The 17,332-nt window shown below is 43.8% G+C and overlaps 6 annotated features.

The window, feature by feature from the left end:
* Nucleotides 414-1,016: a transcriptional cis regulatory region, noted in NCBI's record as "candidate enhancer chr16.2261 targeted for multiplex CRISPR interference". NCBI's record gives its function as "positively regulates YPEL3 gene expression with high confidence in K562 cells {active_cell/tissue: K562}" and the evidence as "EXISTENCE:mutant phenotype evidence [ECO:0000015][PMID:30612741]".
* Nucleotides 2,335-2,434: an enhancer, noted in NCBI's record as "active region_10667". NCBI's record gives its function as "activates an Ori minimal core promoter by ATAC-STARR-seq in GM12878 lymphoblastoid cells {active_cell/tissue: GM12878}" and the evidence as "EXISTENCE:reporter gene assay evidence [ECO:0000049][PMID:35858748]".
* Nucleotides 7,774-7,823: a silencer, noted in NCBI's record as "silent region_7331". NCBI's record gives its function as "represses an Ori minimal core promoter by ATAC-STARR-seq in GM12878 lymphoblastoid cells {active_cell/tissue: GM12878}" and the evidence as "EXISTENCE:reporter gene assay evidence [ECO:0000049][PMID:35858748]".
* Nucleotides 9,164-9,745: an enhancer, noted in NCBI's record as "OCT4-NANOG-H3K27ac-H3K4me1 hESC enhancer chr16:29720469-29721050 (GRCh37/hg19 assembly coordinates)". NCBI's record gives its function as "activates a minimal SCP1, AML or CMV promoter by ChIP-STARR-seq in primed H9 embryonic stem cells {active_cell/tissue: H9 hESC(primed)}" and the evidence as "EXISTENCE:reporter gene assay evidence [ECO:0000049][PMID:30033119]".
* Nucleotides 9,746-10,327: an enhancer, noted in NCBI's record as "NANOG-H3K27ac-H3K4me1 hESC enhancer chr16:29721051-29721632 (GRCh37/hg19 assembly coordinates)". NCBI's record gives its function as "activates a minimal SCP1, AML or CMV promoter by ChIP-STARR-seq in primed H9 embryonic stem cells {active_cell/tissue: H9 hESC(primed)}" and the evidence as "EXISTENCE:reporter gene assay evidence [ECO:0000049][PMID:30033119]".
* Nucleotides 12,074-12,655: an enhancer, noted in NCBI's record as "H3K27ac-H3K4me1 hESC enhancer chr16:29723379-29723960 (GRCh37/hg19 assembly coordinates)". NCBI's record gives its function as "activates a minimal SCP1, AML or CMV promoter by ChIP-STARR-seq in naive H9 embryonic stem cells {active_cell/tissue: H9 hESC(naive)}" and the evidence as "EXISTENCE:reporter gene assay evidence [ECO:0000049][PMID:30033119]".

A 17,332-nucleotide genomic window follows, 5' to 3' on the forward strand; every position in this document is an offset into this window, starting at 1 on the left:
GTGCAGGTCCCCTTCCCTCAGTTAATGCTCGTGGGGGCGGGCGTTAGCCTCTCCACTTACCGAAGAGGAGACTGAGGCTTTATAAAGTTAAGAGAGCTGCTTAGGGTCACTCATCAATAAAGTGGTGGAGGCCAGTCATGGTGGCTCACACCTGTAATCTCAGCACTTTGGGAGGCTGAGGCAGGAGGATCACTTGAGCCCAGGAGTTCAAGACCAGCCTGGGCAACATAGTGAGACTCAATTTCTATTTTTAAAAAATTATCCAGCTGTGGTGGTGCACACCTGTAGTCCCAGCTACTCAGGAGACTGGGGTGAGAGGATCGCTTAAGCCTGGGCAGTTGAGGCTGCAGTGAGCTGTGACTGCACCACTGCACTCCAGCCTGGGTGACAGAGGCCCTGTCTCAAACAAAAATAAATAAATAAATAAATATATAAAGTGGTGGAGCAGTTTGAATTGTGTCATTCACTCATTCAATATTTAACTGAGCATCTACTGTGTGCCAGGCACTATTCTAGACAATGAACATACAACGAGTAAACAGATAAAAATCTCTGTCCTCAGGGAGTCTGTATGTTGGGGTTGGGGTGGGGGCGGGGAAGAATAGACAATGAAAAAATACTTAAGGAAAATATGTAGACACCAATTGTCCTGATGGCCACCCCTGATGGCCACCAGAGGGCACTGCAACCACGCGGCCCTCCGTTCGTCTCTAATTCCAGCTCCCTTTCCGGATTCCGAAGGCAATAGCCAAGGAGGCTATGAATACGCAGCATAGCATCTGCTCAAGAATCAACGCGAGGAGGCATTGGCAGCAGTTTTTTCTCCACCCACTTTTCCAGCCTCATCCCCTCATCAGACCCCCATCCAACTGCCCAGGGTACCCCTGTGACTTTTCAAAGCCCCGTGTACTCCAGATTCACCAGCTACTCACATTCACTCCCAGCCACCCATCCCCTCCCAAATACTGTCTGGGTTACCCACCAACCCCATCCATCCGCTCACCTGATGCCTGTCCTCCTCCTCACCCACCCACCCGCGCCCCTCGCCCCTTCCACCTGCTGTCCTGCCCACCGGAAACTGGCCAAATTGTCCCATAGATTTTTTTTTTTTTTTTTTTTTTTTTGGATAAACACAGAAATTGACATTCCTGGTCTTAAAGCTTGAAACTTAAATTTGCCTTATCTGAGTTCCTTCCCCAGGAAACTGACCCTCAGGCCTCCCAGATAGCATCAAGGAACTGAAACTCCTTTTCTTTACCCCCCTCTAATTCCTGTTTTCCCACCCACAGCTACATTTGCTCCCCACTATATAAACCCCCAATTGGAGTTTGTTGGAGAGATGGATTTGAGACTTATCTCCTGTCTCCTTGGCAGATGTCATCTGAATAAAGCCTTCTTTCCTGGCGATACTCATTGTCCCGGGATCCCAGATCAGCTTTCTGTGCAGTAAGCAATGGGACCTAGACTGAATCCCTGGCGTTTCGGTAATACACCCATCCATCCTGTCCACCCCCACCCATCCTGTCCACCCCCATCTATCCTGTCCACCCCCGACCCATCCTGTCCACCCCCGACCCATCCTATCCACCCCCTTGTGCTTCCATCCACTCATCACTCTTCCCACCCCTCCGCCCACCCACCATCCGATGCTACAGAAGCCCAGAACTGGGGCACTCAATCTAGAGGTCAAAGATGGCAAGAGGTCAAACCAGATTGACAGTGAGTCACCTCAGTGGATATGAGTTTTAGTGTGCTGAGGCCGTGAAAGGTAAAAGCATTTAAAAACAGCAAGGCCAGGCACGGTGGCTCACGCCTGTAATCCCAGCACTCTGGGAGGCCAAGGCAGGTGGATCACCTGAGGTCAGGAGTTCAAAGCTAGCCTGACCAACATGGGGAAATCCCTTCTCTACTAAAAATACAAACTTAGCTGGGCGTGGTGGCATGTGCCTGTAGTACCAGCTACTGCTACTTGGGAGGCTGAGGCAGGAGAATCGCTGAACCCGGGAGGCGGAGGTTTCCATGAGCCGAGATCACACCACTGCACTCCACCCCGGGGAACAAGATCGAAACTCTGTCTCAAAAAACAAAAACAAAAAACCCACAAAAATTAGCCAGGCGTAGTGGCGGGTGCCTGTAACCCAGCTACGCAGGAAGCTGAGGCACAAGAATCACTTGAACCTCAAAGGCAGAGGTTGCAGTGAGCCGAGATCATGCCACTGCACTCCAGCCTGGGCGACAGAGTGAGACTCTGTCCCAAAAAAAACCCAGAGCAAACAAACAAAAAACACAACGGCGAGACATTCTTAGCAAACCAACTATCTGCAAACAATTCAACGTCGGATCTTTAAAAAAATCCCGCTGTGGCATTATGCTGCGGACACATACATTAATTTATGGCTAGCCCTTCAAGACAACCAGGTGGGTAAAATTATGTAAATGTTCACCGCCTCTATACTTTGTTCCAATGACTTCCTGAGTAATTGATTGTTTTGCCAATTACTCAGCAACATTTAAGACCTGCTTCCGGAGGCCCTAAGTAGCTCAGCATTCTAAGACCGAAGTACTGAAGAAAATCTGCCTGTGTGGCTGTGAATAACATCTCCATCCGTCACTGTGCACATCAGATTTAGGCCAGATAACGCAGGCTTTATTTATTTCAGGTACGCCTTGCGCTTCAGATCATGGGACTCTAGTATAGCACCCCCAGAAAATTATCAAGGGCAAAAAAATCATAATACATACCTCTAGTTCAGTGGGTCCTTGGATAACCTCTTTCCTCTCTCCTAGTTCTTCAGCTAAAAGATTCAGGAGCCTTAGCAACAAGAAGGAGCTATCCCACAAGTTGCATTATTCTAGATATTCGGACACTTTTTTTTTTTTTTAAGCAGGAGTCTTGCTATGTTGCACAGGCTGGTCCTGAACTCCTGTCCTTAAGTGATTCTCTTGCCTTGGCCTTCCAAGTAACTGGGATTACAGCGGTGAGCCACCGTGCCAGGGTTTTGGATGCTTTTTTTTTTTTTTTTTGAGACAGAGTCTCTCTTGTCGCCCTGGCTGGAGTGCAATGGTGTGATCTTGGCTCACTGCAACCTCTGCCTCCCGGGTTCAAACAATTCTTCTCCCTTGGCCTCCCAAGTAGCTGGGATTACAGGTGCGTGCCACTACACTCAGCTAATTTTTGTATTTCTAGTAGAGATGGGGTTTTACCATGTTGGCCAGGCTGGTCTCGTACTCCTGATCTCAGGTGATCCGCCCACCACAGCCTCCCAAAGTACTGGGGTTACAAGCGTGAGCCATCGCGCCTGGCCGGATACTTTTTAACCAAAGGAAAAAGCAAGCATCTTTATTGGAATAATATATCAATATATGCAGGTAATCAGACAATACCAGTCAGACAACACTGACTTCTTTTTTTTTTTTTTTGAGAAAGGAAGGAAGGAAGGCAGAAAGGAAGGAAGGAAGGAGGGAAGGCCGGAGGTGGTGGCTCATACTTATAATCCCAGCACTTTTTGAAGCCCAGAAGGGAGATCACTTGAGGCCAGGAGTTTGAGACCAGCCTGGGCAATATAGAGAGACCCCATCTTGACAAAAAATTTAAAAATTAGCCAGGCATGATAATTTGCACCTGTAGTTCCAGCTACCCAGGAGGCTGAGGCAGGAGAATTGCTGGAGCCCAGGAGTTTGAGGCTGCAACCAGCCGTGACTGCACCACTGCACTCCAGCCTGGGCGACAGAGAGATACCCTGTCTCGAAAATAATAAATAAAGGCCGAGTGTGGTGGCTCACACCTGTCATCCCAGCACTTTGGGAGGCCGAGGCAGGCAGATCACCTGAAGTCAGGACTTCAAGACCAGCCTGGCCATAATGGTGAAACCCCGTCTCTACTAAAAATACAAAAATTAGCCAGGCATGATGGCAGGCGCCTGTAATCCCAGCTACTTGGGAGGCCAAGACAGGAGAATCGCTTGAACCCGGGAGGCGGAGGTTGCAGTGAGCCAAGGTCGTGCCATTGCACTCCAGCCTGGAGAACAACAGCGAGACTTCGTCTCAAAATAATAATAAATAAATAAATAAATAAATATGTAAAAAGTCCCTTAACTGAGGCCAGGCGCAGTGGCTCATGCCTGTAATCCCAACACTTCGGGAAGCCAAGGAGGGTGGATCACCTGAGGTCAGGAGTTCAAGACCAGCCTGACCAACATGGAGAAACCCCATCTCTACTAAAAATACAAAATTAGCTGGGTGTGGTGGCGCATGCCTGTAATCCCAGCTACTCAGGAGGCTGAGAGAGGAGAATCGCTTGAACCCTGGAGGTGGAGGTTGCTGTGAGCCAAGATCACACCATTGCACTCCAGCCTGGGCAACAAGAGCAAAACTTCATCTCAAAAAAGCCCCTTAACTATAATCTAAGAAACAAAAAATATTTAATTTTTATTTTCTGCATGATCTGCTTAGTTTTCTTAATAAGCTGTGAACCAGAAAGGGAATTTGCTGCGGTTTGGCAGCCTTTTAGGTGGAGGATTATAGTGAATACATTTTTAGATTATTGGTATAGTAACTTCCCCAAAGGATGTAAGATTTTGAGGACTAAACCAAGTCCTGCACTTTCCATTCCAACCTAATTAATTCCAGTGAATGAAACATTCATTGGGGAAAGCACAGAAGATGCAGAAGAGCTGCTTACATGACCTGAGTCAACAATTCAGTGACCCTCTGCGTATAATAATCAAAATAGGGCCAGGCGCAGTGGCTCACACCTGTAATCCCAGCACTTTGGGAGGCCGAGGAGGGCAGATCACCTGAGGTCAGGAATTTGAGACCAGCCTGGTGAAAATGGTGAAACCCCGTTTCTACTAAAAATACAAACAATTAGCTAGGCGTAGTGGCGCACACCTGTAATCCCGGCTACTCGAGAGGCTGAGGCAGGAGAATCGCTTGAACCCAGGAGGCAGAGGTCGCAGTGAGTCGAGATCGCGCCATTGCACTCCAGCTTGGGCACCAAGAGTGAAACTCGGTCTCAAAAAAATAAATAAATAAAAATAAAAATAGAACAATAAAGTCCATTCATAAATTTTCTAGCATAGTTAACTTATCCACCTCCTCTTGCTTTTCGTTAATTAATTTAGTTATCAGAGTACAAAATGAAAAAGTAAAAAATATCCATTCACTCTCATTCCCATGAGGTAACCACGTTTAAGGAGCTCTGTGTTTTTAGTCCTCCTGGCATCTACACTTGAGTGGAAAAGATGATCATTTGTGGTTTTAAGCACTATTGACTCCCTGATGTGAAGAACAAAGAATGTATCTCACTCATTCTTTTTTTCTTCTTTTTTTTTGTGCTGTTTTTATTGGTAGTCTTCCTACTAGTTATCATCATAACTTTAAATGATATATTTAATCCCCTTTTCTTGAAGCATTGTTTTTATTTTTATTTTTTTACTTGTATTTATTTATTTATTGAGACAGAGTCTCACTGTGTCACCCAGGCTGGAGGGCAGAGGTGTGATCTTGGCTCACTGCAACCTCCGCCTCCTGGGTTCAGGCAGTTCTCCCCCTTCAGCCTCCCGAGTAGCTGGGATTACAGGCACCCGCCACCATGCCCAACTAATTTTTGTATTTTTAGTAGAGGTGGGGTTTCATCATGTCGGCCAGGCTAGTTTCAAACTCCTGATCTCAAATGATCCACCCACCTTGGCCTTCCAAAGTGCTGGGACTGGCCGGGGATGATGGCTCACGCCTGTAATCCCAGCACTTTGGGAGGCTGAGGCGGGTGGAAATCACAAGGTCAGGAGATCCAGACCATCCTGGCTAACACGGTGAAACCCCTTCTCTACTAAAAATACAAAAAATTAGCCAGGCGTGGTGGTGCATGCCTGTAATCCCAGGTACTTGGGAGGCTGATGCAGGAGAATCGCTTGAACCTGGAAGGCGGAGGTTGCAGTGAGCCGAGATGGTGCCACTGTACTCCAGCCTGGACGACAGAGTGAGACTCCATCTCAAAAAAAAAAAAAGCAAAAAACTCCACAAAGTGCTGGGATTACAGGCGTGAGCCACTGCGCCTGGCCTGAAGCATCGTTTTTAAAATTCAGATATAATTTACATCGCATATACTTCACTGCTTTAAAGGGTTCAGGCTGGGCACAGTGGTTGACACTTGTAATCCCAGCCCTTTGAGAGGCTGAGGTGGGGGGGATCACTCAAGGCCAGGAATTTTTGAGACCAGCCTGGGCAACATAGTGAGACTCGCTCTCTACCAAAAAATTTAAAAATGAGCTGGGCAAGATGGCACACACCTGTGGTTCCAGCTACTTGGGACGCTGAGGTAAGAGGATTGCTTGAGGCCAGAAGCTCGAGGCAGCAGCGAGCTGTGATTGCACCACTGCACTCCAACCTGGGAAACAGAGTAAGACCCCTTCTTTTTTTTTTTTTAGATGGAGTCTCGCTCTGTCGCCCAGGCTGGAGTGCAATGGCGCAGTCTAGGCTCACTGCAACCTCCACCTCCCAGGTTCAAGCGATTCTCCTGCCTCAGCCTCCTGAGTAGCTGGGACTATAGGCGCCCACCACCACGCCCAGCTAATTTTTTGTATTTTCAGTAGAGACGGGGTTTCACCACATTGGCCAGGCTGGTCTCGAACTGCTGACCTCATGATCTGCCTGCCTCAGCCTCCCAAAGTGTTGGGATTACAGGCATGAGCCACCACTCCTGGCCAAAACCCCTTCTTAAAAAAAAAAAAAAAAAAAAAAAAAAAGAACATCCTTTTTTTTTTTTTTTTTTTTGAGACAGAGTTTCGCTCTCTTGCCCAGGCTGGAGTGCAGTGGCGCAATCTCGGCTCACCTCCTGGGTTCACGCCATTCTCCTGCCTCCATCTCCCGAGTAGCTGGGACTACAGGCACCTGCCACCACGCCTGGCTAATTTTTTTTGTATTTTTAGTAGAGATGGGGTTTCACCGTGTTAGCCAGGATGGTGTCGATCTCCTGACCTCGTGATCCGCACGCCTCGGCCTCCCAAAGTGCTGGAATTACAGGCGTAAGCCACCGTTCCCGGCCAAAAGAACATCTTAATAATCCCAGAAAGATTGGGCGCAGTGGCTCATGCCTGTAATCCCAACACTTTGGGAGGTTGAGGCAGGTGGACCACGAGGTCAGGTGTTCGAGACTAGCCTGACCAACACGGTAAAACCCCATCTCTACTGAAAACACAAAAATTAGCCAGGCATGGTGATGCATGCCTGTAATTCCAGCTACTCAGGAGGCTGAGGCAGGAGAATTGCTTGAACCTGGGAGGCGGAGGTTACAGTGAGCTGAGACTGTGCCATTGCACTCCAGCCAGGGTGACAGAGTGAGACTCTGTCTCAAAATAAATAAATAAATAAATAAATAAATAAATAAATAAAATAACTCCAGAAAGAAACTCCCTTCTTGTGATATCAAGTACATCTCCCTCCTCTCAGCCAATGGCAACCATTATTCTACTTTCTGTCTTGATGGATTTTATCTACATAGAATTGAGGGAAGAGAGAACTTCTCATATTGTTTTATATTGTTTTATACTCAGTACCTGTTTTAAGAAAAAACAACAAGAAAGTAAAATCAAAGACAGGCAGCCCGGCGCCAGGCCCGAAACCAGGCCTGGGCCTGCCTGGCCTAAACCCAGTAGTTAAAAATCAACTCATAACTTAGAAACCAATGTTATTCATAGATTGCAGACACTGTATAGAAGAACACTGTGAAACTCCCTGCCCTGTTCTGTTTCTCTCTGACCACCGGTGCATGCAGCCCCTGCCACATACCGCCTGCTTGCTCAAATCAATCACGACCCTTTCATGTGAAATCTTTAGTGTTGTGAGCCCTTAAAAGGGACAGAAATTGTGCATTCTGGGAGCTCGGATTTTAAGGCAGTTGCTTGCTGATGCTCCCAGCTGAATAAAGCCTTTCCTTCTACAACTTGGTGTCTGAGAGGTTTTGTCTGCGGCTCGTTCTGCTACAGAAGCATACAACACATGGCCTTTTGTGCCTGGCTTCTTCCATTCAGCATGTTTCTGAGGGTCATCCATGTTGTCTGTACTTCATTCCTTTTAATGGTTTCCATTGCATGGATATACTACATTTTCTTTACCCATGCTTCAGTTGATGGACATGTGGGTTGTTTCTACGTTTTGGCTATTATGAATTATGCTGCTATGAAAATTCATGTACTGGTTTTGGTGTGGGCACACGTTTTCAATTTCTCTTGGGTGTATACCTAGGAATAGAATTAGAAAATCATGTTGGCTGGGTGCGGTGGCTCACGCCCGTAATCCCAGCACTTTGGGAGGCCAAGGCGGGCGGATCACGAGGTCAGGAGATAGAGACCATCCTGGCTAACACGGTGAAACCCCGTCTCTACTAAAAATACAAAAAATTAGCCAGGCGTGGTGGTAGGCGCCTGTAGTCCCAGCTACTCGGGAGACTGAGGCAGGAGAATGGAGTGAACCCGGGAGGCGGAGCTTGCAGTGAGCAGAGATTGCGCCACTGCACTCCAGCCTGGGCAACAGAGCGAGACTCCGTCTCAAAAAAAAAAGTCATGTTTTACTTTTTGTGGAACTGCCACACTGGTTTTCAAAGCTGCTGCTTGTACATTCCACTAGCAATGCACAAGGGTTCCTATGTCTCCACATCCTTGTCAACACTTGTTATTGTCCATCTTTTTAATTATAGCCATCCTAGTGAGTGTGATGCAGTACCTAATTGTGGTTTTGATCTGTATTTTCCTAATGATTGATGATGTTGAACATCTTTTCATGTACTTATAGAAGTTATTAAAAAATTACTTTAGGCAGATGGAGAGGAAAAGGGGTCCTTGGAAAGTTGTTTCTTTTAAAGCAACTCCAGAAACGTTTCTGGTTTACCAGGAAAGCCCTGGCTCTTAGAGCCCAGCCAGCAACATTTGATATGCAAATGCAGACCATTAGAAACTGGGTCCACCCAAACATGGCGATTCCCACCGTTGTCCTCTTGCCCTTGCCCCCACATGTGCCTGGCAAATGGCTACCCCTACATATCCCCCACCTGTGTAAAACATCATGGTGCCCTGCATTTGCATCTTAAAAGGCTAGGGTGAGAGGGCCAGTTTTTTCGTGGGCTATATGAATGACATGCCTGGTTAAACCAATCCCCTAAGCCCTATGCAAATTAGACAACACCTCCTCCAGCCTCCTCATATACCCGGTTGGTATGCCCCGCATTTGTGGTCTCCTCTCTTGGCTTTGGAGCCCCCCTCCCTCTGTCTCTGTACGGGGGTGCCTTCTTCTTTTCTTCTTCTCCCTTCTTTCTTGCCTATTAAACTCTCCACTTCTTAATACCACTACACGTGTATCTGTGTCATTTTATCCAATTTGCATGAGACAAGAGCCCTGGTGCCCCTCCACTCATCAGAGCCGTATCATTTTGGTGCATGGGCCAGGAAAATCCAAAGTACAGCCTTCGTTGGAGTGGTGAGTATGGGAGCAATCCTAAAATCTGTTCTATCATTACGAGGCGCTCTTAGCCTCTATATTAAAATAAATCAAACGGGCGTCCGTCAGCCTAATACATAGGCTTAGCATTGGCTGCCGTACTAAAGACTCGGATGTGAGGCTTGCTGGGGAGAACTTGGAGAATCCCCCATTACCCACAGGTACTGGGAATTTTGGCCATGTTTGAACTAGCTTCTTTTTGTTAGGGATAACGCTCAAAATCCTAAGGAAATTGAACACTCGAACAAAGGATTCTTAGCAAAGCAATTTTACTTCTGCACAGAGGGTTGCCTCCTTGGCCAGTTGCCATGAGAGCACACCTGAACAAAGGGGCATGAGAGCCTTTATTTGCGATGGAAGTCCTGCCCCTGTACCCTTTCCTCATTGGCTGGGGTTGGGTCATACAATCTAAACTAATCCCGGTTGGCTAAACATTTCATTTTTTAAGATAGGGTGGGCACGTAAAAACAAGTGGAGAGGAAGGGGAAGGGGTGTCTGTAATGAGCTAGAAAGTTAGTCATTTTTCCAAATAAGGAAAGGAATGTGAGCTGGTACTGATAACGCTTGGTACTGTGGTGTGCCTGGGCATCTAACAAAGGCAAAATGGAAAAGGAGAAAGAAGGAGAAAAAAGGGGGGGGGTACAATGAATTAAAGAATGAAAGATTGATGAGATTATTTGAAGAGAAACCTCATCATATTCCACATTTTCACAGGGAGACCTTGCCATCATGCGAGGCTGGGAAAACTTCTGAGGTAACTGAGAATTTCTGGTCAGGGCACACTCTGGCATGATTCAAGGGCCTCTGGACCGGACGCAGCCTCCGACAGCCGGGTGTTGGCAGAGAATCCTCAACTATCCTGTGGCCAAATTTTCTTTCTGTCTCTATCCATGGTCTCTTACCCTCTCTGTGTGTCTAATGTGCAGGGATCTTTACAGTTCAGGGAAACAGGTCTGCTAGAAGAGATGGTGAATCACGGCAGCCAGTAACTCAATAAACGTTTCTCTATGGTTTCTCTGGTGAGCACGTGGTATTTCTAAGCCACCTAGTGGCAATAAAAATCCTCTTCATGAGACACATTGCTGGTTCTCTACGGTACATTGCAGCTTCGCAATTTTTCTATTTTGCGCTTTTTTACTGCTATTTCTGTGAACGGGAAGGCTCTGCTTTTAACAGGAGTCAAATGTCTTCTGCAGCCAGATTTTAGTCCTAATATTGTCCCATCAGTAGAAATTGGCCATTTGCTTCCTACGTTCTTTTAAGGCACCTATTCTGTCTCCAGTTAAGATAGTACTTAATTAGTAGGGAAATTTTAAGTCTGGAAGTTAACCGGAACCATTTTCCTATGGGTAAATGTTTTATCATAGGCCATAATAGCAGGATTTAGAGTTCAATCTAGCATGCCCCCTGCCTTAAAGGGGTCTTGCCCAATTACATGATTTTTCTTGAAATCCATTTTTTTAGGAAGGCACAAAGGCCACACAAGTCTGGAAGGTCAAAGAGAAATAAAAGGCAGAGGACTAAGGCTGCTTGGGGAAAGCGTGACTAAGGCTCAAAAGTTGAGTTCCTCTGATGTCATGGCTTGGAGGGTCACGCCTGCAGTCACAGGTCACTGGTGGCCCATTTAAATAGGTGCTGGGAATCCAGAAACCACGGAGAGAAGATAGTTGGGGGAACTCCCCCTACTGCTTTTGTCTCCAACCTGGATCACATACCAAAAGGAAGGAGACTAAAAGAACGCTTTTATTCTCACTTCTCTTTCTAGATGGGAATTAGATCATGTATAACATGCACTGCCCTCGAGTGTATTTTAAAGCACTGGGACTCCTTCAACTCTGAAACTTTGAAGAAAAAGTGGCTTATTTTCTTTTACACAAGGGCATGGCGTATTTGTTTTTGTTTTTTTTTTGTTTTTTTTGTTTTTTTTTTTTTGAGACGGAGTCCTGCTCCGTCACTCAGGCTGGAGTGCAGTGGCTCGATTTCGGCTCACTGCAAGCTCCACCTCCCGGGTTCACACCATTCTCATGCCTCAGCCTCCCGAGTAGCTGGGACTACAGGCGCCCGCCACCACGCCCGGCTAACTTTTTTTGTATATTTAATAGAGACGGGGTTTCACTGTGTTAGCCGGGATGGTCTCAATCTCCTGACCTCGTGATCCACCCATCTAGGCCTCCCAAAGTGCTGGGATTACAGGCCTGAGCCACTGCCCCCGGCTGGGCGTGGCCTTTTTACTAAACTTCTGCAAGCGTTGCAAAATCAACCTAGCTCTTTTAGCAATCACATCAGGCAGGCCCAAAGAGAATGATTACCCAAAATTAGAGAAGCCAGTTCTAGGGGAACCACCTGAGGATTCCTTTATTTGGGGCCCCTTCAAGTTCCTTTCTCATTATTTAGGACCTTAGGCAAGTAAAGGGAGACTTAGGCCAATTTTCTTTCTTTCTTTATTTTTTTTTGAAACATAGTTTTGCTCTTGTTGCCCAGGCTAGAGTGCAATGGCGTGATCTTGACTCACTGCAACCTCCACCTCCCGGGTTCAAGCAATTCTCCTGCCTCAGTCTCCCAAGTAGCTAGGATTCACAGGCGTGCATCACCATGCCCAGCTAATTTTATGTTTGTTTGTTTTTTTAGTAGAGACAGTTTCACCATGTTGGTTTGGCTGGTCTTGAACTCCTGACCTCAGATGATCCACCCGCCTCAGCCTCCCAAAGTGCTGGGATTACAGGCGTGAGCCACTGCGCCTGTCCAATCTTCTAATGACCCTGATAGGTATACAGAAGTTTTCCACAATTTAACTCAGGTATTTAACCTCTCATGGAGGAATGTTATGCTGCTCTTAAGCCAAACCCTAACTGCAGTTAAAACAGGCAGCTCTGCAAGCAGAAGAAAATTTTGGAGATAAGCAATAGGTCTCCTATAGTAGGCCAAAAGGGAAAAGAAAAAATAGGGAAGGCAAAGAAATAGGGGAAACAATATTTCCAATAGGAAAAGAGGCAATACCTCTTGGCAACCCTATTTGTCACTCCTTTCTATGGTGTTTTTCCTTCTTTCACGGTTTAAAATGGCTTCTATCTCTTTTATAATGTTCTTCCAACCTGGGAAAAGTTATTTTTCCAAACGTTAAAATGCTTGGCTTAGAGTTGAGCTAGGGGGAAGGGAACACAGAAGCCTGGTATGCTGGCAAAAGGGTAAACATTTCTTACCAGATGGGCTTTTGGCTTCTCCCTGTGCAAACCGGTAAAAGGGATAATAAGGATCATTGTTTATATTCTCTGTAAATTTCTAATTCATAAAAAAGGATTTGTGAGGTTGGTCTTAAGCTGTAAACAATCTGGTGTGCTTTGCATGTCTTTCCCTAAGAAAGGGTATCTTAGGTTAGGATGCAGGCCTAGGACCCCATAAGCCTGGTGTTTGAGCGAGCCCAACAAAATCGTCACTAACAAAATTGGCTATAAGCCTTCATCTTGTTTCATGTCCTTGGAAACATGACCTGTAACCACGTGGCAATACTTTGTTTGAGTCTCCACCATTTCATAATGGTGGCTGTCTTCTGGTGCTAAGTCAGTTTCTGGGTGAGGGCCACAAAATCAGATTAAGTCGGTTTGTCAATCTGGGTGGTGCCAGCTGATCCATCAAGGGCAGGGTTTACAAAATATCTTAAACACTCATTTTAAGAGTAGTTTAGGGAGTGTCAAAATCTTGTAGCCTCCAGATGCATAGCTCCTAAGCCATAGTTTCCAATATATATATATAATTTTATATTATATATATACATAATTTTATATTATATATATTAATATATAATATATATAATTATATATGTTAATATATTTAATATATAATTATATAAAATATATAATATATAATTATATATGTTAATATATTTAATATATAATTATATAAAATATATTAATATATATAATTATATAGTTAATATATTTAATATATAATTATATAAAATATATAATTATATATAATTATATAAAATATATAAATATATATAATTATATAAAATATATAATTATATATAATTATATAAAATATATAATTATATATAATTATATAAAATATATAATTATATATAATTATATAAAATATATAAATATATATAATTATATAAAATATATAAATATATAATTATATAAAATATATAAATATATAATTATATAAAATATATAAATATATAATTATATAAAATATATAAATATATAATTATATAAAATATATAAATATATATAATTATATATAATTATATAAAATATATAAATATATATAATTATATAAAATATATAAATATATATATATATATATTTTTTTTTTGAGATGGAGTCTTGCACTGTTGCCCAGGGTGGAGTGCAGTGGCGCAATCTCAGCTTGCTGCAACCTCCACCTCCCAGGTTCAAGTGATTCTCTTTGCCTCAGCCTCACAAGTAGCTGGGATTACAGGCGTGTACCACTACACCTGGCTAACTTTTGTATTTTCAGTAAAGACAGGGTTTCACTATGTTGACCAGGCTGGTTTCGAACTCCTGACCTCGTGATTCGCCCACCTTGGCCTCCCAAAGTGCTGGGATTACAGGCGTGAGCCACCACGCCCAGCCTGGTTTTTAATCTTATGGCTAGTTTCTTGGTCTGGTCCCCAGACAAGAGGGAAGTATATCTTAAGAAGGGGCTGATATCATCTTTGTTTTAAACTATCTATAGTTTAATAACTATAAACTATCTATAGTTTAATAACTATAAACTATAGCTTAATAACTATAAACTATAGTTTAATAACTATAAACTATAGTTTAATAACTATAAACTAGTTTAATAACTATAAACTATAGTTTAATAACTATAAACTATCTATAGTTTAATAACTATAAACTATCTATAGTTTAATAACTATAAACTATCTATAGTTTAATAACTATAAACTATAGTTTAATAACTGTAGTTTTAAACTATCTATAGTTTAATAACTATAAACTGTCTATAGTTTAATAACTGTAAACTCGCCCCTCCCAAAGTTGGTCCAGCCTACACCCAGGGATGGGCAAGGACAGCTTGGGGGCTGGAAACAAAATGGAGTTGTTTGGGTCGGATCTCTTCTCTTTCACTGTCTCAGTCTCAGTTTTGCAATGACAGTTTCAAAAGCTGCCTATTACTCCTTTGAAAATACCTTGTACACTTGTGGATAAGTCATAACCTAATTAAGGCTCATTGGGTTCACCTGTGAGGTTACTTTTTGTAAAACTCAAAAGCCAAAAATCTTAACTGCTTGGCATGGCTAAAGTCAAGTAACAAGGGATTTTGAAGGCTTTTCTTAGAGCACTCAGCTTAATTAAAAGTGGATATTCAAGTTATAGGTATACTTAAAAGGCCTTTATGTTTTTCTCTTCTTGAATCTTGTTTTCTGGAAAAAGGCTCTTCTCAGTCAACTGAATTATTTTTCTCCATTTTTGTCTTAACCACTCTTAATGCATGCATGAGAGTCCCTAAGACAACTTCTGACAGCATGGAACTCCTTGGGAAAAACAGAGGAGGTGCCACAAACCCTGTTTTGGAAAAAAAACCTGTTTTCCTCATGAAACCCCCAAAATTAAAAGCTGATAGTTCCCTCTCAAAACCAAAGGCTCTGTTCTGTTATGTATTGTGTTATCTACCGTTTTGAGTTTTGGGGGTATCAAATTACTTCACATTATAAAAGAGCTTTGATGTGTAATAACTAGGTAGAAAATACACTGTAAAGGATGCCTAATAGTAGTTATAAATCAAAAAAGCATGCTCTTGGGCACCTAAAAAACATCCCCACCCCCCACAAAGAGATGAGACTACCATGCAGAATGGGCTAATTGCCAAAATAAGCCAATTGGCTTTGGGTTGCCTTGCAATGAAATGCATGGTAGAAACACTACACTGTCTTCTCTCATAGTATCTATATGGTCTTTTCATAAATTGAGCATTGAAATAAAAGCATAGCAAGGAGTTCCTAAAACACTAATCTGTCCTTTGGTAAAAAGGTTATAAAAGATTTGTAAAGATTTAACTGTAACTGTCCTGGAAATTTTGTCATTCGCAAACAATTGTTGTCTTGCTTCGTTCCTTCTCAGAAAATGGTTTATAATCAAGCTATATTAAGGACTTTAACAGGTGTTCTCAAATGCAGGTTTTTAATAGCTTTGAAGATTGTAACATTGGAATAAAAAAGTACAGGACTCATAAAGAATGGACATATTCACAAATATCAAGCAAAACAAAAGTTAACTAAATGGACTGCACTCAAAAAGTTAAAGCAGCTTTTTTTTTTTTTTTTGTGATAGAGTCTCACTCTGTCACCCAGGCTGGAGTGCAATGGTGCAATCTTGGCTCACTGCAACCTCCGCCTCCCTGGTTCAAGGGATTCTCCTGCCTCAGCCTGGGATTACAGGCGCCCACCACTGCGCTTGACAAATTTTTGTATTTTTAGTAGAGACAGGGTCTCAAACTCCTGACCTCATGATCCACACGCCTCAGCCTCCCAAAGTGCTGGGATTACAGGTGTGAGCTGCCGCACCTGGCCAAAGCAACCTTTTTAACTTTTGCTTGGAATATTGCAAATACGCATGAGAGTCCCTAAGATAACTTAAGGATCCTTGTTTTGTCTTTCAGAGTCAAGAAAACTTATTTTGAACTATTTACAGCCTTTAATAATTAAGTAAGGTGCCGGGCACCGTGGCTCATGCCTGCAAACCCAGTACTTTAGGAGGCTAAGGAGGGTGGATCACCTGAGGTTGGGAGTTTAAGACCAGCCTGACCAACTTGGAGAAACCCCATCTCTACTAAAAATACAAAATTAGCTGGGTGTGGTGGTGCATGCCTGTAATCCCAGATACTCGGGAAGCTAAGGCAGGAGAATTGCTTGAACCCAGGAGGTGGAGGTTGCAGAGCCAAGATCACACCATTGCACTCCAGCCTGGCAACAAGAGCGAAACTCTGTCTCAAAATAAAATAAAATAAATAATTGCGTAAGGTATATGCCTGTGAACAAAATTTGGAGCATGTTTGTTTTTCTCTGCCTGGTTCCTCTAGAACGTGGAGACTATCTGTGAGTACTCTTAACTTATGGCAGTAAGGTTGTTTGCATCAGTGCAATAAGAGTCAATTTTCTGGCCGGGTGCCGTGGCTCACGCCTGTAATCCTAGCACTTTGGGAGGCCGAGGTGGGCAGATCACAAGGTCAGGAGATCGAGACCATCCTGGTTAACACGGTGAAACCCCGTCTCTACTAAAAATACAAAAAAATTAGCCAGGTGTGGTGGCGGTGCCTGTAGTCCCAGCTACTCAGGAGGCTGAGGCAGGAGAATGGCGTGAACCCGGGAGGCGGAGCTTGCAGTGAGCCGAGATCGTGCCACTGCACTCCAGCCTAGGCAACAGAGCAAGACTCCGTCTCAAAAAAAAAAAAAAAAGAGTCAATTTTCTTTGTCAACAGGACACAGTTGGAAAAACTGGTTATTTTACCAAGGTTTCACTGAAAGGGTGTGTTTCCCTTTAAGGAATCAAGCTTGACATGCAGACCCAATAAAAACCCCTTGGAGAGAACTGGCCTCATAGTTAGTCTACACAGTCCCCACACAGGGTTCCTAACCTATGGTCAGTAAAGAGTGTCACTTTCTAACAGGCCTGGGAGCTCCAAGTTTATCTTGGAACCTTAAGAGGAGAGGATCACCCAACTCACAGGTATTTGAGGATACAAACCCATAGTTGGGCTCGGCTTTAAAGGTCTTATCTGAAATTCCTTGTGCAACAAAGTTTCATCAAAGCCAATTCAAAAGGCCTGTGTAGAAATAACCATTCCTGGCCGGGCACGGTGGCTCATG

Source organism: Homo sapiens, chromosome 16 (assembly GCF_000001405.40).
Source record: "Homo sapiens chromosome 16, GRCh38.p14 Primary Assembly".
NCBI lineage: Eukaryota > Metazoa > Chordata > Mammalia > Primates > Hominidae > Homo > Homo sapiens.